This window comes from Homo sapiens, chromosome 4, assembly GCF_000001405.40.
Source record: "Homo sapiens chromosome 4, GRCh38.p14 Primary Assembly".
NCBI lineage: Eukaryota > Metazoa > Chordata > Mammalia > Primates > Hominidae > Homo > Homo sapiens.
In genome coordinates this window covers 149,692,965-149,718,398 of record NC_000004.12, presented here as the reverse complement: position 1 = coordinate 149,718,398, position 25,434 = coordinate 149,692,965, and the positions used below count along the sequence as shown (strand labels likewise).

Here is a 25,434-nt window from a genome sequence, read left to right as displayed (position 1 = left end):
GTGTACCATGGTCTGTGCCCTCATGGAACTTTCAGTTTAGCAGACATTACTTTTCTTCTCTCTTGCTTAAAAAAATACATATTTCAGGGTTTTTGAGGGGAGGGTAGGAATCAGAGTTATGGTAGCACCACCTTTTTCCTTCTGAGTTTGGAACCACTTGAATTGAGAAGTAAGACACAGGAATGGAGCAAATGAAGATCAAATGTTTATTTTATTATGGTGGAAGTTGATTAGAGAATATGGCTTTAAATAAGTGATTCCATGGTTTGTTGATCCTCTCCCAGGATTAAACTTACCCTTCCAGTTGTAGGCAGGAGGGCCTTTTACTCTCACCAAAGCCATGAACCTCTCTGTCTAGCCAGTCTTCTTTGTCTGAACTAAGAGAAAGGGCATAAATATACTCCCCATGGATACAAATTCCTATCATCAGAGGCCACCATGTTACTAACTACTTGTAGGCACCGGGGATTTGCCAATAGCATGAGGTTTACGTACCTTTTGGAGGGTTTAGGAAAGGGACAACCATAAACCGGTTATTAAAGTAATTAAGTCTTTTATTGAGTGGCACATGCATTGCCTCCTAGCAGTGTTAGGCCCGTTAGGACATTAAAAGTCTATGCCATGAAATACTTTCTGTATCAGTAATTTATATGTAGCCAAGGGACCCATAATTATTTTTGCCATACTCTGTGTAAGTTGGTCAACCTCACCCATTAACATTTGTATTACTTTAACCTTTTTCAGGCTCAATTCTTATTATTAAATGCTAATTAGTAAATCAAGCAAAGTTAACTTTAAACATTTGAGGCTGAACTTATTAAGATTTTAGTTTTCTTTGTGGGATAATAGTGTGCTGAAATTGATGTATATTTATATAAAAGAAGTTAAAATAATGGAATTATATTTTACTAATTTTGAAACGGATTTCTCAGCTATAAAGGGAAAAACAAAGTGTGTTTCTTCTATCCTCTGCTAACCACAACACAGAATAATTCTGTGTCCTCTGGTCACCAAAACGTATGGGAATTTCTCCTCACACACCAAGCAGTTCTCCAGTGGACACCAGCTTGGTGTCTTCCAATTCAATTCAAATCTGACACTATGTACCTGGAGGTAGCATCAGATCCCATAGGTTGAGGGCTTAGTCCTCAAACTGCCCGTCACTTCAGATGCTATTCTCAAGTATGAGCATCTAGAATTTCTCAACAACTGGCTATAAATTGGGGTTTCCACAACTCCCAACTCAGTTTGATGAATTTTCTCAGCTCACAGAATGCAGGGAAACACCTTACCTAAGTTTACCAATTTGTTGATAAAGGATATAATAAAAGATGTAAATGAACAGCCAGGTGAAGAGATACATAGAGTGAGGTCTGGATGGGTCCTGAGCTCAGGAGCTGTTGCTGTAAAGTTGGGATGTGCCATCCTCCTGGCACATAGTGTGCTTGCCAACCTGGAAGCTCTCCAAACTCCCATAGTTCAGGGATTTTTGTGGAGGCTTCATCACGTAGGCATGATTGATTATTAACTCAATTTCCAGCCCTTCTCTCCTTTCCAAAGAACCTAAAGGATTTTCTGATGAATTGGTTACTTGGATGTGAGAGGAAGATGACTCCAAGCTTTTGCCTTTATGTACTGTGGATGGGGTTGTCATTTACCAAACTGGGGAAGTCTTTGTGAAGAACAGGTTTGATGGGTATGAACTATTGTTCAGCTTTAGACATACAATAGCAATGGCAGCAGCAGCCCATCTGGAGCGGCTGCTGCAAAGATGCCGGCTGCAGCCGGGCAGGCTTGGCTGGGGCAACGTGCTCCATGGAGCCGCAGGGAACAGAAAACAGGTGTGAGCCCCGCCCTCTTCCGCGTTGGAGGATCTTGCCTTCTTTGGCGCAGCTGCAGCTGCCTAGCTGCAACAGCGGACCTGGACATCTCTGCTCTCTTGGGGGCCTGGGAGGCTCCACCTGCCCCCACAGGCTCAGAAATGCCTGTTCCTGCTGGCTGGCCTCTCCCAACTCTCAGTCCTCACTCCAATTTTGGAGCAAAGTTGTGGCCAAGCCCCGGCACTGTCACGACCCAGCCAAGTGTGCACATGCTCAGGGCTGTGCTGACGTGCCAGCCTCCTGCCGTCTTGGCCTCCTCCAAACTTTGGGCACCAACAAGCATGGGACGGAGGCCAAGGGGGTTGCTGAAGGCAGCTCGGTGTGGGACTGGAGGTACCCCTTGGCATGAACAGCTTGGGTGCTGTGGGTGCTGTAGATGGCAGGTTGATGGCAGCAGGAGGCAGACAGGCTCCTGGGCAGAAAGGGGCAGATCCCAGTGAAGCCTCACCTTCGAGCTGGGGATGGCCTGAAGCCTGGGGCTGGGCTGCCAGTTCTGTGGACTAGAGTGAGAACCTATGGTGCTTTTTCTGGGTCCGCCCATGGCCCACCCATAGACCAATCAGTAAGCACTTTCTCCCCAGGACTCAGCCAGACTTGGACAGAGGACAGGAAGACCTATCTGCAGATAAGAGCCACCCACTACTGGTCTCATCTCCCCTGAGGGCTGCAGAGACATTGATGTTGGGATGACCTGCCTGTGGAGAGGAATCTGCGGAGCTGAGAGGTGAGCAAATGTCTGGCCGACCTGCCTGCAGAAAGAAGCTACCCACTTCGGGTCTCCTGAGAGCTGTACTGTTGCTCAATAAAGCACCTCTTCACCTCACCCTCCAGTTGTCCACATACCTCATTCTTCCTGGACATGGGACAAGAACTCCGGACCCACCAGATGGCAGGACTGAAAGAGCTGTAACACAAACAGGGCTGAAACACGCCCCTTGCTCACCGTGTTGCAGGCCATGAGAAGGAGAGAAGAGGAAAGGAGAGAAGAGCAGCGGTCCTTCAGGGAGCCCAGACCTAGGAGCTCCCCAAGCCAGGACTGTGACACTCTCTTTGGGGCTCTGTGATTCCTGGCATCTCCAAGATTCCAGGGGTTACTATGTTCCCTGGTGGAAGCAGTGGAAGCTGCTTGCAGTATGCCTGGTATAGCTGCAGCCTTGCAGGAGTTGGTGCTGGGAGCTGGCCACCCCTCCACAGCCAGCATTACTGACTGTATGCAGTGGCTGAACCCTGTGCTCGCTAATTCATGCACCCCTTGCCACTCCATGCCTGGCTCACCCTTGGCAGGCATGGGATCTGGGCCAGTAATGTGAGCTGAGCACAGCCTGTCAGGCCAAGCAGGTGGACTTAGCACAGCAGGCCCCAGCAAAACTCAGGCAAAGGCACCACCAGCCACAGAGGTTTCTGGCTGGTGAAGTGATGCCCCAAGGATCCCATGACAGTAGTCTCTCCTTATCCATGGTTTTGTTTTCTGTGGTTTCACTTTCTGAACTTTTAGTTACGTGAAGTTAACTGTGGTCTGAAAGTATTAAATGGGAAATTCCAGAAATAAACAATTCATAAGTTTTAAATTATACATCCTTCTGAGTAGGGAGATGAAATCTTGCCCCATACCAATTAATCCCACCCAGGATAAGAATCCTCCCTGTCTCCAGCATATCCACACTATATATGTGCCCCATCCATTTAATCACTTAGTAGCTGTCTTGGTTATCAGCTTGGTTGTTGCCATATTGCAGTACTTGTATTCAAGTAACCCTTGCCTTATTTAATAATGGTCCCAAAATGCAAGAGTAGCGATGCTGGCATATTATTATAATTATTCTATTTTATTATTGTTGTTAATCTTTTACTGTGCCTAATGTGTAAATAAATTTTATCATAGGTATGTATGTATGTATAGGAACAAACATGGTACATATAGGATTTGGTACTACCCACAGTTTCAGGCATCCACTAGGGGTCTTCAATGTATCCACCCTCAGATAAGGGAGTACTACTATATAAAGTCTGAAATGTTTGTTAGATATCTAGATGGAGATATTGAATAGAGAGTTGGATATCTGGATTTGGAGTTCATGGGAAAGGACCAGTATCAGTTATCAACCTGAGATACCTCAGTTTATAGATGGTAGTTAATGCCATGAGACTATGATATAATCATGGGAGGGAGTTAGAGAAGTCTGAGTAGTAAGCTGTGGAGTATTTAGATTTTAGGGAAATAAGGAGAAACTAACAAAGAGACTGAGAAGGAGCAGCAAGTGAGGAAGAAAAAACAAAAAATGGGAGACTGAGATGTGCAGGATACTGAGTGAAGATTGTCTTCCCAGGAGCAGAGAGTGTTGGATCTACTGTGTTAGATTCTGCTTACAGATCAAGGAAGACAAAGACTTAAAATTGACATTGGGGTTAGCACTGTGGAGGTCAACGATGACCTTGACACCTACTATTTTAGTAGCGTGATCAATTCAAAAGAGAATTGAGGGAGAGAAATTAGATAAATATGGATAACTATTGCAAATAGTTATGAAGAACACAGAAATTAGGTGACTGTTGGGGGAGGTGAGATCAAGAGAGAGCACTTCTTTTTTCCCCTTATTTAAGATGGGAGAAATGTCAATATATTTTTATACTGATAGAAACAATTAGGAGGAGAGGGAAAATCACAAGTGAAGGAAGAAAAAGGAAGAATTGCTGGAACAGTATCTATAAGAAGATGAGAGTGGATGAGAGCTGTTGTAATATAAGTACAGGGGTTGGGCCTTAGATGGGAATGTAAAATATTTTCACCTGTAGTAATGAGAGGGCACATGGAGTGTATGGGAACAGATACTCTCAGGACACAGGCTTTAGAAGTTCTCTTCTGATTGCTTCTAGTTTCTCAATGAAATAGGAAGCAAAAAAAGCAGCTGAAAGTAAGGGCAGGGGGAAGTGTTAGAGGTTTAAAGAGAGAAAATATGAAATACAGACGGGAGAGTGAATGGACTGAGAAGTGGAGGATGATTACTGGATAACAGTAATGTCCACTTGGGTTAGTGTTAGTGTTATATGAGACCAGTCATGGTTTTGTTTTCTCCCATCACATTAATTATGCAGAGTACAAACACCACAGGGTGGATAGAAAGACATTTAACTAGGGCTTTGTGTTTTCTCAAACAAGATGACAAAATAAGAGGGAGGCAACAAAATCAGCCTGTGAGAGGAGTGTTCATAAGGATTGACCTTGGAATTTAAGCTGCCTGAGGTGTGAAGGTGGCAAGGGAGGGTAAAAAGGTGGTAGTATCGATGAATCACAGGGCCTGGTAGGGGGTCCAGCGTTGTTGGTGATAGGGAATAACCCGAAGAAAGGAGAAAGTGGTGATTGGAAAGTGGGATGCTTCAGAATGAGCTCATCAAGCAGCAGTGTTGTTTCAAGTAGCCTCTATGTTTTAATATTTTGTTTTAGTAGGACTTCAGTAGAAAATCCTATTATCATCTAGATTGTTAATCATCTGATATTAGTTATTTTGCTAGTGAACATTACTATTAGCAAGTCTTGGCTAGCCAGGATCTTTATAAACTTTTTGACATTTTCTCCTGATAAGGCCCCTTATTTGTATCCTGACCTAGGCAGTTAATTTGTACCAGAACATATGAGGGCAAGTTATTTTTCAGGCCAAATATTTTAAAAATAAGAAATGTTCATTATAGTCCTCTACTCCAGGGACATGGATTTCTTGGAAAGTAGCCTCCTGAGACATGAACAATCTTCCAAAATGACTGGGGGCAGAATTCAATATTCTTATTACCATTCTGGAGAGGTATTAAGTACTCCTGAAAAACACCTTCCATCAGATTGGTTTGTCTATGTACTAATCTGTACTCTATGCTAGAAAGTAAGCCTTTAGAAGGCAGAGACCTTACCAGTCTTGTTTGTATTTCCATCCTCAGTGGTTAAATAGGAAAACAGTAGGCTTCTTGAGAATTTTAAATATATTTTATAAATGCTTGTTGCATAATGAAGTGAAGTGAATATATGAGCGTAAGTGTAAATTGCTAGCCAGGTTTAAGCAAGCCAGGTGGTTTTTCAAACTGATCTATGTACCATGGAGGGGGTACTTCTGTTATGCTGATCCCTGAGTTATATCAGAAGACTGTGTGTGTATGTGTGTTGTGTGTGTGTGTGTGTGTGTGTGAACATTGACAGTATGACAGTATCTGCACAGGATAAAGAGATCAATCCTAATCACTGTCCGGTGCAAAACAGCTGTTGCCTGAGCAAGTCAGTGCCCAAGGTAGTTATTAATTTCTCTGGCCTGCATGAATGCTTCCAAAATGATTCTGTCACAGCATGTGTGTTCTGGCATTCCCTCTGAACCCTGGAATCCTGGAGCCAAGGATCTATTAGTGCCTAAAGTGTGGAATGTGAGACATTGATCATCCCTTCTCTAAGCTGGCACTGCTCTGAAGCAGCCTAAGAACCAGGGGAACAAGCCTGCTGCCAAATCCTTCTGGTTTTGGTCCCATTGCAGTTAATGAATCAAAACATTATTTTAGAGACACTTTATATTTTAAACTATTCCAGAAGCCCAGTGAGTACTCTGAATATACTTAGTGAAGATGGATCAAAAAAGCGTTTTATATGCTTACTGTAGAGGCATTCACAAAGACATATAACATGCTATCATCACATTTAACAGGTGCTCATAAGTACTACCAATGTGACTGAGTTGATGGTAGTTTCTGCCAAAGTTTCTGGTGTCCAACTATACTCAACTGCTAAGTATGGCCTTTAAGTAGCTTTCAAAAATAGACTGGAATAGCTGGTTGTAGCTCTGTAAGCAAATGACCTTTGCTTTTTTATTTTATGAAAGTTCAAAAATGTGCTTATATCTCTGCAAACTGGTTTTTGGTTTTAAAAACCCAAAAATGCTTCCACTGCTTTATTGAAAGCCAATTTATAGAGAATAGGACAGAGCAGCTAAAAAAAGTTGGCCTGTATTGAGTATCTCCTACTTATCAGTCAGTATATTAAGCCATGCATTATCAAAATCTTGCAAGATTTGCATATTATTAGTTGGATTTTACAGACAGGAAAACTCAGACTCAGAGACATGCTGAAATTGTCACCAATAAATAGTAAATGGCAGAACCAGGATTTGAATCTGAATTTAGTCTTTCTGAATCTAAAGCTTTCGCTCATTTAATTCATACAGTGTGCTACATCCTCTTTCTTGAGTAACTGGGGTATGTGGAGGAATGAGGGTCTCTCAAGTGCCTTGGGAGTATGGAAGTGACTCTTAGTCTTTTTCCAAATTATTGTATAACCTTGAGCAAGTTGCTTTTCTTCTTAGCATCTCAGTATGCCTTATAAAACTGATCTAGCCTTAGCTGCTTGGAAAAACTTTTATTTTCATGAAGAACTATAAGCTTTCAGAAGAAAGGTGGCATTTAAAGTGCCCAACATTATTCTTAGATAATAAATTATCCTATTGCCAGTTATATCCTGTAGCAATTGAGTACTTTCCTGCTTCTTCCAAAGATGTCCCCAAGTGTCTGTGTCATTTTCAGCAGGTCCTCACAGATGTGTTCTATGGATGAAGACAAAAAATGCCGGAGAGTGGTTATGGCTAAGTGATTCAGCTCTGATTTCTTGTATGGGTTAGTAGTGAAATATTGGACTACTGCTACTCCCTCCACTTTCCTCTCTGACCAAAGCTACAAAGACCTGATGAATTTCAGAAACTTCACCAGAAAAGAAATGGCACCTAAGTGTATTGTGCTATAGATTGGAGAGCTCAAGAAATTCCAGGAAACAAATATAGTTTTGCTAGTAAAAATAAATAGAGAGCTAGTGTTATACAGATATTTTAAAGGTTAGAATATTAGCTTTGGGATGAGCTTTGTCAGTCACTTTTTTATTGAGAAAATAGTGACGGTTCCTACGTCTACCTGGAGAGTCTTTCTAACAATACCACATTTATTAATGGGAGCACAGATGGTTTTCTTGAATGGGAGGAGCAACAAGAATATGGGCATGGATTGCCTGTTTCTATAAAGAAGGTGAGGGCATGATTACTTTGCTGGGCCAACAACGATGAATTGTCCAAAATGGCTATAAAGTTTGTTTTGGAGCTCCTAGACAGTTTCTTAGATAAAATTGTTCTGTGAATAGTTAGAAGTGAATAGACACTATACATTTAGAATTCTAGGACCCAATGCTGGGCCTTGGGTTTACAACTTGCAAGGCATTTCTTTGCCTGGCTTTTAAGTGAAGCCTGATTTTAATTTGTACACAGTGCTTTTGCCTTATTTAAGAAAGAAGATAATAACTAGAACCCTAATTTGCTCAGAGCTGCCTCTTACAACTGATTTTATTTACTTATAGGGCATAATTACATTTAGAAAGAGTTTTATGACATCAGCAATAAAATCAAATGAGTGTATAACTTTTCTAGTCATTTATTTCCTACAGATAATTTAATAGTCCAGACATTAAATTTGGATCATTCTTTCCCTTGAAAACAGAATGTTACTCTCAAAGAGTTGATTTTCACTGTTATAAGAGGTTGCACTCCCTTTTTGGTTGGCCTGCAAGCTTTACTTTCTTGAAACTGTAGTGAATTTTATATCTTCCTAGACTTGTTCCTGTGTTAGTTGCCCTGAAGTAAACATTCCTTCCAGGAGAAAATGTTTGCACTCCTTGCAGGAGCAGCTTCTGTGGCTGGAGAGGATGAGTAACAAGACTTTGCATTTGTGCATCCATGCTGTGAACATAGTCCAGAATGATGGTTTGTTCCTGGATGATAATGGGAATCTAATTAAATGTGCCACACTTAATAAAATCACTGCATCTACTTAGAAAGAATCTGGGATTTAGGGACTAAAGATCAAACACCAAGGTCTGGTTCTCCTGCTGAAATATCTTGGCCAAATTATTTAATATACTGGATCCTCCATTTCCTATGTTGTTAAGTGCTGATGATAAAAATAACTGCTGACTATATTGCTGTGAGGATCAAATGAGATTTTTGTGTGAAAACATAATATAAACTATAAAATACCAGACACATTAGTGATGACCCCTTGAAAGACTCAAAAGAGTATATATGCTCATACAGAAAAGCAGATGATCCTGTATCAGGGTAAAGCAGGCACAAAGTGCTTTGGTAAAAAGAGAATTTTCTGTGAAATACAGGTGGGTTACATGTTCTCTCTTCCTTTATTTCTCTTCAACCAACAGTTTGTATTTAAACCTTACTTTCATTTGGCAGAGAATCTAACGCTTAGTATGATACATTTACCTGGAGTTTATCTGAAAGCTAATGTTCTAGTTTTATGTGACCATGTTCAAGCTACGTTGATACCCAAGTACATTATGTGGTTTTAGAGTTTAGTGTTTCTTATGGCTTTAAAGAGTTAATAAAACTTTAACTACTTAATAAACTGCTATGAAACAACTGTGACACATGTTTTTGTCATCAGATATACTGGGAAGTAAAGTGTTTTAATTAGCATTGGGGCCAGGTTCTATCCTCTATTTCACCTTGATTTCTGATTTTGCAATGAGTCACAAAAACTGGTCAGCTTTACAGCCTAGAGCTTTGTAATTGGCTGCAAATGAGTCAGATTCCTGTTCTGTCTGGTTGTTAATACCATTGGCAAGTTTATGTAGATAAACAATAAAAAGAGTGCCAAATTCATTTGAGGACAAACAACATATTATAGTTTGGCAAGCATCCTTTGTCGTTTCATGTAGACTTAGTTTTAGGCATAGAAAAAATATGACTCCTAATGCAAGGTGAGAAAGTATGTCAAGATGTTTGAGATATATTACCTAAAACAAACAGTAGTATACAATGTGAGGAAAGCTAAGAGCTGGAGAGAAATAATCATGTACAAAGAGCTGTTTACCTCACTGGAAAATGATCCTAATCAGGAATTTGCATTTCTTTAAAGCCTTTCTGTTAGTGATAATATCTTTATCCCTATTTCTCAAAAGGCAATTATCACATATAATGGTTTATAATAGAAGTGCTATTGCTCTCCTAGTATTCAGCATGTAAGATTTTTTATTGGTATACTTGTCTTTTTTTTTTCTAGGCACCTGCAATTATATTTACATTCTGACAAAATATAGTAGAGGTGGCACTTAAATCTTCAAGTTCCTGTCTATGATCCTAAGCAATTTTACAGTCTTTTCAGCTTTGTTTTCTTGTAGCAATTTCAAGTGCAATTAGGGATATAAGTATAACTTGTAAAGTTTCCACTAGGAGAATATATTTTATATTTTGGTGCTGGATAACATTACAATAACTTGCTTTACAATTAGTGTAGCAGATCTGGGATCAGCTCAGGATCAGAAGAACCTTAGTAGTAAAGCTGTAAGTCTTTAGCTTGAACGTGGGAAACATTCTGACTGTGTGAAGATAAAGAAGAAAGGTGGTGAAGTACTGGCATTTGTCAGAAATGTTGAGTGGATGGCAGAGTGGGTTGTTGATGATAGTGCAGTGAATTATGCAACAGATGACAATTTGTGAGGACTGGAAGAAGGAAGATTGCAAACATCACACAAATTGTCTTCCTGGTTCTAGATGAAAATATAGAACTGTGATTATTCTACCAAGAAAAGATAATGAAATACATATGAAATACACTAATTTGCATTCACCTAACAATCATACATTTACTAAGCCTCTCCATAGGGTCTCTGAAGGGTCTGGAATTTCCCCATATTTACAAGCTAAAAAGTTAGTGCTGCCAGTTTCATGGGTATAGGCAGAAGACACAGTCAGGACTCATTAGAGACAAGAACATTATTACTTATAGTACAACATGTAGGCTGAGCTTTCCATCCATGTCAGTTTCCCCCAAGTCCACTGGAAGCAACATAGAGGGCTCAGGTAGATGCTGCATACATAGTAGATTTGTGTTAGAGTTGAGAGATGTGAGCTTGGGGAGTCTATCACTTTTAGAGCAAGCTCGCTCTTTGTCCCAGGGAGAGATGTTACTTCATTCCTCAAGGATGCCCTGAGAAAATGCCTGGATAGAGAGCAAAGAGTGTCCAGAGCCTCACATTCGTGGCAGACCCAGTATGATTTCAGGGATGCTCCGGGTCCATGGTGGATAGCCTCTTCCAACACTAAGGAACTCATATCTTATAAACAATGTGTCTATTGTAACATGCATAACAACTATACACATATATTTGCAGTTTCAAAGCATTATTATTCCCTGTTTTTAGCAAGTGAGGAAGTTGAGGCTCAGTGTATTTGAATAAGAAGCTAAAATCACAAATAAATGACATGGCAGGCACTGCAGCATAGCATTCTTAGTTCATAGCCTAATGCTACTACCATTAGCCAGTTTACCTCACTGCTAAAGAATTTTCAAGCCATGTTGGCTCCATGTTTTAGTGAGAGCTTTTCCATTACTTTATTTATTGCTCTCTACATTTCAGGAAATGAGCACTCCTTTCCTGAAGTTGTTCATCTTTGCTGTCTTTTGATTCTGTCAGTCTACTGTGTTCCTACATCTTTTCTTCCTTTAGCTTGGAAAAATCTGTTTATTTCTAAAGGCCTTTCACAAAATTCTAGGAAATAGACTCAAAACAATGAAATTGCCTGTTATCTTAGAACTGTAGAATTGTAGAAATAAAATGTACATTAGACTCACAATTTAACCATTCCACCTTCATTTTAGGAATAAAAAAGAGAGGTCCAGAGAGCCTCAGTGAATTTCCACTCAAGGTCACAGGTCTTATTAGTAGAAAAGAGAAGACCAGAACCCACTGTTTTAATATCTAAAATTCAGCATTCTTGTAATTATGCTACGTTACATCATGAAAGAAAAAGAATTAAAGGATATTGGTAGAAGCTTACTACCTTCACATTATATGTTCTCAAGTTTGGTTTAGTAACAATAGGACTTCTGTTTTACATATACAAGATAATACTTAGCTATCAAAATAACAGAATTATAATTCCTTATAAGTCATGAGTTCCAAACTCAAATGCTCTTCTAAGATCAGCAGGTAACATCAATGTGTGAAATAGCTGATGTGATCAATGGAAGGAATGGAGTCTATGGCAATCTAGAGAAAGCACAGCCATCTAGACACACTCTGATTTAACATTTCCTAAATACCACATGCCCCCCAAATCCATGTCTGCCTCTGGCTTTGACCTTCTTGCTGCCATTTTGCAATACCTTACCTGAATAGTGTGGTTTTAAAAGATTTTTTTATATCCTTAAATGTGATTTTTGTCACATAGACTTTCAGAGCTAAATGGGATATTAATTATCAGCTGCTCTAACCCATCATTATGCTGAAATGGAAATAAAGAAGATTCAGTGATATGCTGAAGTCCACAAAGCTAGTTTGTCACACGAATTGTGACTAGAAGTAGATTTGCATACTCCTAGTCCACTGTTTTTTCTACTTTATCTTGAAACTTTTTTAAAAAAGAATATCCTATTTTGCAATGAAAGCAATGGGAAAATTAGATTTGACATGTAGCAGTGTATTTTGTACATGACTTCTGGAGAACCAATTAATAATTACTTATTGAGTACTGTATATTACCAAGTTACATGGGGCATACAAAGATATAGAATTTTTTTTTTTATTTGTGTCTTCTCCAGTTGGGAAGTCAAAACTAATATAGGAGAATAACTAAATGCTACAATCTTTGGCATTGACTTTAAATATAATAAAACTTCAGAAAGAACAGAAAGTATTGGTGACTGAAAGCCTTAACTCTCCATAACCCAACAATTATTTTTAGTAGCATATTTTTAAAACCTTCTTTCATGACCAAAGGAATACTATGATATTTACTAGAAGGTGCCAGTACTAGAATTATGTGTGTGCAGGTATATGTGTGCTAGAGAGATACTGAATTCGAATCTTTGCTATTCATTATTTATGTTAAATTATAATTTTTGCCTATTGATATCTTAAATATCTCCTTGGGCCTATTTTGACGTTTATGGCAAGTAGGAAAATGGATATAAAAGGTATGCCAACTCAAGTCGTGCTGTAATGGAGAGAGATACCTACCCTCTGATGGAGGTGTTATTAGAAACACCAGTTAAAAAAATAATGCCACAACTATTGCTGTCTATGCCTTTTGACTTATGTTTTCTTTTTACTGGTATTAAAGTTCCGTTTTTGTACCCTGTCATGCTATAGTCAGCCCTACTCTAATAGTTGTATCCTGGTAGAAAATTTTACTCCTATGCCTATTGTATTAGGGCTCTCCAGAGCCCTAATTTTTATATATTTTTATAAATATATAAAAAGAAACAGTAGGATATATATGTTTCTTTTTATATATTTATAATATATAAATATATTTTATTTTTATATATTTTTATATATTTATAATATGTATAATATAGATATATATGATTTATTATGGGAATTATATCATTAGCATGTGATTATGGAGGCTGAGAAGTCCCACCATATGCTGTTTGCAAGCTGGAGAACCAGGAAAGCTGGTGTTGTAAGTCCAAGTCTGAAGGCCTTAGAACCAGGGGTGTAAGTTCTGGAGTCAGAGTCCAAAGGCTTCAGAATGTCTAAGGGCAGCTCTCATGTCTAAGGGCAAAAGAAGATGAACATTCCAACTCTAGAAGAAAGAATTTGCCCTTCTTCTGCCTTTTTGCTTTATTTGACTACTTGATGGACTGAAGTTGCCTATCCATGTTCATGAGGATGGATCTTCTTTATCCAGTCTACCGATTCAAATGTAAATATTTTCTGGAAACATCCTCACAGACACACACAGTAATAATGTTTTCTAGCTATCTGGGCATCCCTTAGCTCAATCAAGTTGACACATAAAATTAATCATCACACCTGCTTTGCAACTTTGTTGGCATTCTTGGCAGATTTATCTCTTCTGCCTCTCTTTTTTCCATCTCATATGCTCAGCCTTATTACTCTGTCCGGAGAACTTTTCCTTCATAAGTACCCTGAAATTAATCCTAATCTAGGGGTCAGAAAACGTTTTCTGTAAAGGGTGAGATAGTAAATATTTTTGGCTTTGTGGGCCGTATGATCTCTGTCACAATTATTCATATCTTTGTGGCAAGGAAGTGGCCAGAAGCAATTGGTAAACAAGTTGGTTGGCTGTGTACCAATAAAGCTTTATTTGCAAAAATAAGCGATGGGCTGGATTAGGCCCAGACCGTGGTTTGCCAATCCCTGTTCTAACCCATTGGTATCATATGGGGAGTGTTTATTCCAGGGGTTGAGCAAGATGATACATGATTGTGTAGGAAGAAGCTTCTATTTATATTTTTTCTATATCTTCTGAATACAGTGTGTATTTCAGTGTTAGTTTTATAGTGTATGTGATATGTTAATAAAGTAAAATAGGAATATAGTTTATAATAAGATAAATAATGTTAAGACAAGCAATAAGATAAATTACTTTACATATATTGGGGTAGCTGGTGAAAATTTTTTTTAGTGATAGCAGTATGCAAAAAAGATTAGAAAATTGGAGGCTCCTGCTCCACCTTTTCACACTTTTCACAAAGACCATACATTTGGAATATATCACTCCTGTGCTTGTATAAGTGAAAGGAATTCTTAGTATACGGAGCAGTGAGTATGAGATGTGAAATAGTGAAAGGGTTCTAGAGAACGTTAGAACCTTATTAATTCTCACTGTCTTTACTGTTCTAACAGTTTTTGGGGAAACTGTCTCAGCTACTAAGCATTTGACCATTAGTTCATTTATCCCTTTAGTAGTAATGATTTTCCCTTTGACAGCCACAAGAATATTCTGAATTACTGCTTTCTACATATTGTTAAAATAAATTCTTATTCTGTATAAGATACTATTCTCTAATTTTATTGATGGCTCAGACCATGTATTTTATATATTTTATAGCTTTTGTTAACCCTGCAGTGTCTGACAGTATGTTTGATATGCAAAGAGCAACATGCTCATAACTAAATAAAAAGTAAACAGGGTAGCCTGAAAGCCCTATTGGTCTGTATAGAGACCATAGTTCAAGATGTTGGCCTATTGTCTGTACCAACACTTCCCAACCATTTTTTTTGAAAGTTATGATAGTTATGAGATTTTGTGTGTATTTTTTATCCATTCTTCCTAGCCCTCCTCCAAACAATCTACTCCTAAACATGCCACTGGAAGTACTAATTTTAATGTTAACATGAATAAGAATTAATTGATTTTAAGAACTTTTTTGTTAATTCCATAAACCCATTTGATATAGTTTTAGTACCTTTGGGCTATTGTAAATCTAGAGCAGAATGTCTCTGCTTTCTAGTAGAGTACTTTTATTCTTGTACTAAAGAAGTTGTATGAATTATCTGTGGCTGCTAAACATTTAAGTATGTATGCATTTAAAGAGAAAGTTGCAAATGTAAAATATAATGAAGACAGTTTTGCACATTTGGTGTGGCCTTGTCAACTTAGCATTTGGATTAAGTTGATAACACAAAGCAAGCTATGTTAGTATACCGTCTTGATCAGCTTTTCTTACGTGCATTTTGTGGCAGGTTGGCTGTCCCACACACACATTTGCAGAATTACTCTGATTTCTTGTCAGAATATTTGAAACTCAAGTAGGCCTTTTGAACCTTTACCAGTGCTGTCAACATGTTAGCATAATTAGTCATTATTTGTTTCTCTGTTAAGAGCAGGATCCCTCAGATAAAAAAGTTACTCTCTTACTTTCCAGTAATTAGTTGTAATCTTTCAGATAGCCAAAATTGTAAGTATAAATTCCCTCTTCCTAAGATGGAAAAATTCTTTTAAATTGTCTGAGGAAAATAATTTCAGATACTAAAATCTTATTCAGAGCATGCCTAAAAATGTCACTATGAGTTTCCATCTGTACTTTCTTATTTCTCTTTTTGCTTTCCTTTCATGCTTACCAGTGGGTCTCAGTTTCTATTTGTATTGAAACAAACCAGACATTTGAACTTGAGGAGGCATCTTGTGAAGTTGAAAAGATAAGGAGAGGAAAAGGATGACTCTTTACTGAGTGCTTAATTTATGTCAGGTGTTTCTTCAAGACCATTCTCCTGTGTGAAAAGCTTCTTTTTATGGGTCTTAACATGTTTATTGTCATTTATTTATGTATTTGATTTTTGGTTGACTGTGGGGCAGAATAAGTTAATAAAAAATACAGGTAGTATTTAGGTGGTCAAATGCCAATGTGCTATGGGTGTGTGTGTGTGTGTGTGTGTGTGTGTGTGAAGTGAGGGAGTCATCAGTGAGTGTATAGAGGGAGAATGAAGGAAGTCGTCAGGTGTGTCATTGCTTTACAAAAATTGATGGTGACATGTGTGTCATTATTTGTAAGAGCCAGTGAATATCTTACTTAGTGTGTTATCAGTTGTAATGACTTTATATTTGTGGCAGATATAAGTCATTCTATTTTTGTTTAAATAGATTGACTTTAACACATTAAGCTGAAACATGCATTGAGATACATACATAAAAATTCACTCAATATTTATACTGGATTAGATCAAGTGACTGGATTGAGGCTCTTGGGCTTGTTATGTTGGAGCATATGGACAAGTTGTGAGGCTAGAAAAGATGTATGGTGTTTTAAATTTCCTTCTAATTATAGAATCTTATCTACATCAATAAAAGTTTATATTTAACTTTATAAGAACTGTATGGTGAGAAAAATAATTGTACTCATCCATACATCTGTAAAACATAAATTGGACTTTGATAAAAAGTAAAGTGATTCTTGATAAAGTTCTGAATGTTAATGAAACAAAAATTCCCATCTGACTCTAACCATTTTCTATTCTTGTAGTATCTTTTTTAGTGATATAGGCTGATTTTTTTGGCACCCACATATAGCAAATAACTGTGAAACATTTCAAACCTCAAAGTGACACTAAAACTGTGAAGTATGAAATGGAAGTGCCAGAGCGTGTGAGACACATTGCATAGCACTGCTCAGTAATTCAGTGTGTGCATGCAAGAGAAATGACAACACCATTGCAAGACGCAACATGATTAATGCTACAAAAAATTAAATAAATAAAAACAACCTTTATTCTCAAACACTCTCTCATGCCTTAAAGTTACCACTTTCTATGTTTAGCGGCCCTGCCCTAGTAATTACACCTCGTCCCATGCTGTGAGGAACAAAATGATACATGAATATTCTTCTTGCTATGTCAAGGTTACTAAATGGTTATAAGCAAGGACTGTGGTGTTTTAGGCTTCTCCATGAATGTTTTTGTTTTCCCCCCAACACATGAAAAAATTATTTTTGGTCATTACTTTGGTTTTTATTTCTGTCTGTCACCCACCACTAATGACTGCTCCCTTCTCAGGTTTCCTCAGACAGTATCCCAGCTGGGGTTAAATGAATTCTTTCAGTTCTCAAAATATTATTGAGGGCCTATGTTAGAGTGATCCTATAAATGTACCTGTTTCTGAGCCTCAGTTTGTATATTTGTATGCCTCATTTTTGGGAAGCATGTAAAGAGGGATTTGGGGTTATGACTAAGTCTCCTATATTCTCCAGTTCAAATACGATGGGAAAGAAAGATGAATTCTACTACAGTGTCCCTGATGATATCCTTAGTGGACTCAGGAGTCCTGCCAGGTAAAACAGATGCCGATGATTTTATGTTTCTTTTGCTCTTCACAATAAAAATATTAACAATAGTAACTGTTCTCTATTTCTTGAGTGCTCAGTACTTTCTATAAGTTGTTTATAGCTTATTTAATGCATCACAATCTAATTTATAATGGTCAGAAGTATCACTCACCAATTTTAAGAAAGAGGAAACAGAAGTTCAGAGAGGCTAAGTGACTTTCCCAAGGCAAGCGGTCAGGCAGCTGAGTCTACTGACTCAAATGCCCATGCTCCTGACTTAAGTATATCACACTCTATGGTTTGGTGCATTTCCTGAGAGAATAAATGTTTTTAATGAGTTGTTTTCAAAAATCCTTGTCCTGAAAGACATTTGCAACAGGATAGTTACCACTAGAGGTAGGTGCTCAGTAGGTACCCAGCTGTGAGCTAAAAGAGAATAGTGCTGAAGCCGTAAAGGTACCGAGAACAGCCTTCTTTTCACAGTGATGAGAGAGCCAGGGGACATGTGTGTATGTGTGGGGGGGTGACCTGATAGAGTTACATTTGAGGACATCAGGAGCTGCCCAGAGAAGAGAGTGAGAACTCAAAGCTTGGAGAACAATTACAAGGGGCCGGATTAATTGATGGACTAAAGATAGTTTAAACTTCTGGAAGTCAGCTCTTAACAAAGCTCCATGTGGGCTATCTGTGAAGGAAAGGAGTATGTCAGACCTGCTTAGATTAAGTTTTAAAATCTTTGTGTATGCCTATATGTATGCCTATCTGTCTATCTTGACAGGAAACACAGGATTTCTACATCAGAGACAGATTGTGATTGCTCAGAGCATCTTGCCTCAGTTTTCCCATGCCTCCGTCCTCTTTGGGGCAACACAATGAGGGCAGGTGTTATCTACATGAATAATGCAGTTAGTACCACAAAAAAGGAACACTGGATTTATGAATCTCAGAACTTAAGTAGGGCATTAGGCACATTTCCCCCTCCTCCGCTGCAGGGAGAGAGAGGGAAAAGAAAGAGAAAGAGATAGAGGGAAAGACAGAAGGGGAGGGAAAGCAAGTGCTTTGTAAATGCAAACACACCCAATCTGGAGACAGGTGGTGAACTAAAGGTCCCTAGGTCTATCATTCTTTGAAATGTAAGTAAATAAATGGCACAAGGGGAGGTGCCTCTAAATCTCCGTCAAGGTCTCTGTCTTTAACTTCCATGGCTTTTTTTTTTTTTTTTTTTTTTTTTTGCCACTCAAACCCCTTTTAACCCAGGTGCCAGAATTCCTTGCTCACAAAGCTCTGACTCTACAGATATGTGAAAATATTCATGGAGAATTTTCTCCTGGACTCTTGTTTTAACTTTTTTTAGGGGGAAGATCAGGATTGGCTGACTAGGGATATATGCCTCTATCTTTCCATCAGATGGACTAGAGCCCAGTAAGCCTGAGCAAAGGCTCAGATTTGATAAAGGTATTGGACTGTAGCCATATCTGTTATTGTTGGAGAGGGTAACCCGGGGAAGATCAATCTAAACACATTTCTTCTGGGCAATTTTGCTAAGCTTCTGACCATGGTATTTACTTGGTAAAAATTCACTTTTCTCACTAGTAGATAATTGGTATTATTTCCTTTTTTGGGGAAGAGTGTATACTATCTAATTTGGCAAAGACTTGATGAGCACTTTTGTATCTTATAACTGACATGGGAGAAAATTGTTGATAGAGAAGTTTTGGTCATGGAAATATAAAGCACAATATAACTTTGCATTTTGTTTTCAATATGTTGTGCTATTACTAAAAGTTTACATATTTGAGATAATATTTTCATATCATTTTATCTTATGGCACTCATAGTCTTATACTGTATGACGTTATGTGTCTGCCTTATCTGTTGTACAGACCATAATATCATGTTATTAAAATTCATATCTTTATAATCATCAACATCACTAATTTTATTGAGTACTTACTATGTACCAGGCCTTGTGCTAAAGACTTTGCATGTATCATTTACACAATCCTTATGGCAATCTTTTATCCTTATATACTTTTTTACAAAAGACGAAGCTGAGCTCAGATGTGATACAACTTGTTGAGGGTCATACCGGTGATAAATTGTAAAGTTCATATTTATACTTACTTAAGTCTGTCTGCTCTCTTAACCACTTTTCTGAATTATCTCTCATAATTAATGCAATATATTTACCTGGAGGATAATATTTAAATTCCTGAAATATATAAGGTTAGCATAAAGACATTGAATTGGTTTTCATTACATTGTCTTTATTAGAGTTGTGCAAACTTCATCTTACTTTTCATTACTATCATGTTTTTAGATTTCTGAAAATAGTTACGTTTTTGTAGTACATTTTGCACTATTGCTACACACATTGAAGTTTCGTGGTGAAGTTAAATTGCACTGACAAAACATGGATTAACTTTCAACTCTTCTGCTAACATCGTAGAGAACTTTATATTCTTAAGCATTTAATTCAGCTCTGCCCTCAGTTCTTGGCTGAGTTTCATTCATTTATTCAGCAAACATTTATTGGGTGCCTAATATATGCTAGGCCAGTCACTGAGATATTTGTTCAATCAACATTATGAACAATATTATGGGATTATGGGATTATGAAATATAAAATTTGCTATTACGGGATTATGAAATGTAAACTTTGCTAAGTGGAAATGATGTTTCCTTTTTTTCCCCCTATAACCTCCATGGTCCCTAACACATGGCTAAAAAGAATAGTCAATAACAACTTATTAGTTAAATGATCTTATTGAATTGAGGATGATAATTATTTACATGAAGGTAGAGTAGGAAAAAAATCTATATAATGAAGTACAAAGTATTCAGACAACCCGTCTAGCACAGATGTCTTTATTCCCCTTCCTTACATCAAATCTGAAATTCATTATATCTGTACCTAGTAAACACACTAATAAATTATTTCATTTATCCAATTAATATTTATTGGGCTTCTGATTTATAATGCTATATGTGAGTTAGAAAGAGAATAAGAATGTTTCCATTCTTAAAGAACTCATAACATACCAGGGGAAATTCATTTATGCAATAAGTATTTATTGAACATCTATTATATGCCAGGCATTCTTCTTGACATTGATGATATAGTTGTGAATAAGTGAAGCTTACATTCTGCTGGCAGTAGATAGGCAAAATGCAATTAAGGAGCAAACAAATAAGATAATGACAAAAAGTGATAATCACAATGAAGGCAATAGAATGATTTAATAGACTAACCATAGGGACAAATTTTAGATGCAAATGCCATGAATGCCTGTCTTAGGAACTTATATATTTGATTTGAGATCTGAAGGACAAGAAGGACCAATGGTGTGCTGGTAAATTTGTTCTGCAGGGGGCAAAAAAGCCTGATTTATGGCACGTCCTGACTCCCAGGGTATAAATATTCTCACCCTGGCTGATTTCAGGCTACCAGACATTTAATCTGGATTGCAAAATTCCTTATAATTAACAATCAACTCTTTTTTTTTAACTCTGAAATGACTTTATTTTTTTATTATGCTTTAAGTTCTAGGGTACAAGTGCACAACATGCAGGTTTGTTACATATGTATACATGTGCCATTAATGGGTGCAGCACAACAATCAACTCTTGAATACGGGTACAAATCAGCCCTGAGGAGGAACAGACCTTGACTTATTCAAGGTCCTGAAGGGAAACATTGTGGCTGCAGTGTAATAGCAGATAAAATGATAGTGATGTGAAATCAGCTGAGAGAGAGATAGGCATAAGTTAGATAATGTATGGCCCTGTAGGTAATGGCAAAGAATTGATTTATTTAAGAGTGGTAGAAAGTCATTGAATGATTTAAAGACGAATGTTATGATCAGATTTCTATTTTTAAAAGATATGCAGGCCTCTATTCTCTAGGATGGACCAGAGAAAGTGATTTTTCAATCTAGGAAAGAGATAATGATGGCTTAGATTGGGTTATTGTTCCACCTTTCCTTTCCTCCTCCACCTTGGTTTGGAGTATATTTTCTTGCTTCACTAAATTTGAGATTGACCCTATCTTGTTTTGGCTAATGGAAGATGAGAAGCCATGATGCAGACAATGACTTTAAATGTACATAGTAGTTTATCTTGTCTCTTACACTTTTTTGATCTACCAAGAAAAGACCATGCCCCAGGTAGTGGCACCTATCTAGCCTGATGCGTCTAAGCCAGCTGACTCATAGCCTGAAGCAGAACTGCTCTGGCTAACTCAAAGGACCATAAGCAAGAGACATCTAAACTTATTAACTGCATTAAAATGTCTCTTTAATGGAAGAGTTCCATTAAATAGATTATATTTGAGATACGAATTAATGCATACATAAGTCTGAAATTTTGAGGAGAGATGTGGGCTGGAGAATAAAGTTTTGGTGTCTTTGGTGTATGAACAGTATTTAAAGCCATGGATGGAACTGGATGAAATTTCCTAAGGAATAAGTGAAGTTAACATAAACAAAAAGGCTGGCTTAAGACACAGGCTGAAGACACTTCATTCATTGGAGGTCTGATAGAAGAGGGAGAGTCAGCAAAAGAGATTGACAATTGACAAGGAGAAGCAGCATCATAGGAGGAAATCTAGGAGAAATTTTTGGAATCTTTTCATAAAAGAAAATCATTATCATTGAATGCTGCAGTAAAGGTTCAGCAAAAAGCTGACAAATACTTGTTCATTGGGTGTGCTACCATGGAAGTCATTGTATCTTTGATGAGAGCAGTTTCCACAGAGCAACCACTGTACAAGGTAGATTGGGAGTGTAGCGACGAAAAAATGGGGTGAGAAAGAGCAAACAATATATGCAGACAACCAGTCTAAACATTTTGTTATGAAGTGTGGAGAAACTGAACAATAGGAAGAGAAAGTTTGCGTTTCAAGTGCTAGCTATGATTATGACTGCATTAAGTAGTAATCTAAGTTAAAAATCTTTCATTTGACTTTTTGCAATTCTTTTACCCATCTCACTTACTATTTAGCCCAAACCTTCACAACCATTAACAAATCTCAGCCCGCTTCCCTCAGTAAATGACCTTACCTCCTACTTCATAGAGAAAATAAAGGTCTTCATGGCGAACTCACTGGAAACTTATTAATAGCCACCCAAAATCTTGTCTATGGTTTTAGAAGATGCCTCTTCAGGTATGAATTCTATCCCATTCTTTCTGTTTTCTGCCAGGAACCTATCTCATCTATTATGTATTATTTGCCCTCTCTTATGTCTCCATCTCTCCTTTCCTATAACCTATAAGCATACTAAAGTTTCTCTCATATTAAAAATATATTGACACTATAATTTACTTTCTCAAACTTGTGTTTCTGTGGTGATCATTTCATTGCTGTCTGTTTCTTCAAACCACATAACTCTTGAAAAGGGAGTCTGCATTTATTACCTCAATAACATTATTCCTTCAACCCAAAGAAATCTTGCTTCTACTTCCATTAAATTGTCCAATGACCTCCCAATTACAAAAGCTGAAGGGTACATTTCATTCCTCGTTTTAAATTCATGAGATAATGAAAATAAAGTTTCATAGCGCTGTATTTGGAATTATGTAATTATTTGTAGTTAATTTCATTCCTAAGAATGTTAACTTCATAATCTCTGGGTTCTTTTTTGCATTTCTAGTGCCTAGCAGACTGCCTGTCACATTGTAGGTATTCAGTAAATATTTGTTGAATGAATGATTGAATAAATGGATGGATGCATAAAAACACAATGTCTGTCCTCAAGAAACCGTCAGAGTTCACAGTCTAGTGAGGAATTGGCATTCTATATAACACACATGTGCTTGAAATTCCAACAGTAGAAAATTATATGACATCTACCCAGCCCACACACTAGAATGTGAAATGTCAGTAAATTGCAATCTGTCATTCTTGACTAATGAATCTGTCTATAAATTTGAAACTTTAAAATTTTTAAGTTTCATTATAATTCATATGAAATTAAATAAAATTTAAATAGTGGGTCTTAAAAAGAGAGAAAGGTGAGAAAACCATTTTATGATTATTCAGTGTACAAAATATAAAATCTCTCATTGTTCGAATGAAAACGATTTTACCAGCCTGAAGCACTTTCACAGTAGTAAGTTTTGTGTAGAAGAGACCTTAAAGCTCTTCAAGCCCAACTATTTTCACAACATAAAATCCCCTCTACAGTGTTCTTCTGAAATTTTCTGCTAACAGATATCTGTGATGAGGAACACACTCCCTTTTCTGACACTGAATTTCCAGTTTGCTTGAGCTTTAAATTATAGAAAACTAGTTTCCAGTAATACATTGGTTCAGTTTAACTATTTAACATAGACGATTTTTACAATCTGAAATAGAGATGCTGTTTTTTGTGTGTGTGTGTGTGGAAGGAGGGGGAGAAATAGGGATTCTTTATGAAGGTCAGGAGAACAGTGGGAATTAGTGGAAGTATGTATATATTATCTACGGTATCTGAGAAAGTATCCGAGAAAGTAATGGAAAGAAATTAATACCCCGTCTCTACTAAAAATACAAAAAATTAGCCGGGCGTAGTGGCGGGCGCCTGTAGTCCCAGCTACTTGGGAGGCTGAGGCAGGAGAATGGCGTGAACCCGGGAGGCGGAGCTTGCAGTGAGCCGAGATCCCGCCACTGCACTCCAGCCTGGGCGACAGAGCGAGACTCCGTCTCAAAAAAAAAAAAAAAAAAAAAAAAGAAATTAATCCATGGCACTGGCAAACGTAAAAGTGATACTGAAAAATCTATGTAACTGAATAAGAGGTATTAAATGTCTTATTTATTGATTCTTATAACAAATTATTTATTGATTGATTCTTATAACAAATGTTTGTTGAATGTGCTGGGTATTATAAGGAAGTGCTGAGGATTCAAGGGAAATAAGTCCCAGTCCACATGATCAGAGAGTTTACAGATTAGTAAAGGGATGGTGGGCCAACCAAACAATGAGTGCTGCAAATTGTTTCAATGTTAAGATAGATTAGAGAATATCCCTTGTGCTGAGTCTTGAAATGACTAGCAAAATGGGGAACAATTAAATTAACAAGTTGATTTATCAGGTGGATATAAGACATTGCTCCTAAGAATTAAATAATATACACTATTTTCAGACAAATATGGAGCATTATGAAAACTGACTACACAATGGTATATAAAATAGGAGTCAACAAATTTCAAACAATTAGAATTATACAAAACCTGTTCTCTGACTACTGTGATGTTAAATTAGAAAACAATAACACAATGATAATTTAAAATTCCATAATTTGGAAATGAAAGATTATTTATGGAAAGTATGGAGGATGGGTTAGAGTTTCATGGTTGGATTCAGGAATCCAAGTGGAGAAGCTGCTAATGTACCAGATGAAAGATGATAAAGGTCTGAATTGAGAGAGTATGAGTGGGAAAGGATGGAAGGGATTTAATGACTCTATTAGGGGATTGAGGGAGAGTGAATAGTGGAGATGACTTTCGGGCTTATGGATGGACAGTAGTGTCGTTATGTGTGAGAGGGACATGTTGATTGAGACAGAGATAGTCGGCTATTCAAATTTGGATCTCAAGAGTGGTCTAAGCAAGATATATGGATTTGTGCACATTGAAGTGCTAAATATAGCCAAGGTCATGGACCATATCATTCAAGTAAAGGGTTAGAAGGTAGCCAAGGAAAGAAATAGCTTTGGGGAACACACAATAGCTGGAGGTGGTCAAAGCAAAATGAGCCCATGAAGGAGAAAGGCAAAATTGTCAGAAGTGAATGAAATTGAATGGATGATTGATTTCAGATGAACAAATGATTGAGCTCAGGTGAATGAATAATTCCAGCTGGACTCTGAGGAGCACATAGTAAGTAGTGCTAGAGACTAGAGTCTTTTGGTTGGGAGTTTTTGTTGTTGTTTTTCTTTTTTGCCTGTCAGCTCATACCTAAGTTGGCAGTTTTAATGCCTTACA

At 37.6% G+C, this 25,434-nt stretch overlaps 1 protein-coding gene across 19 annotated transcripts in view; it reads left to right on the top strand.

Annotated features, from left to right (window-relative positions):
* The window catches only part of IQCM (IQ motif containing M), a 464,135-nt gene that overhangs the window by 97,445 nt on the left and 341,256 nt on the right, over nt 1-25,434 (top strand). For 3 of the 19 annotated variants that reach the window (NM_001378186.1, NM_001378185.1, NM_001378187.1), the window contains one exon: nt 2,462-2,703. The exons of the other annotated variants lie outside the window; for them this stretch is intronic. In NM_001378186.1, the coding sequence (NP_001365115.1) occupies nt 2,462-2,541 (80 nt within the window). In that variant the 3' untranslated portion in view covers nt 2,542-2,703. Of the gene's footprint in view, nt 1-2,461; nt 2,704-25,434 lie in introns of those variants that run through there. 19 annotated transcript variants of the gene reach the window in all.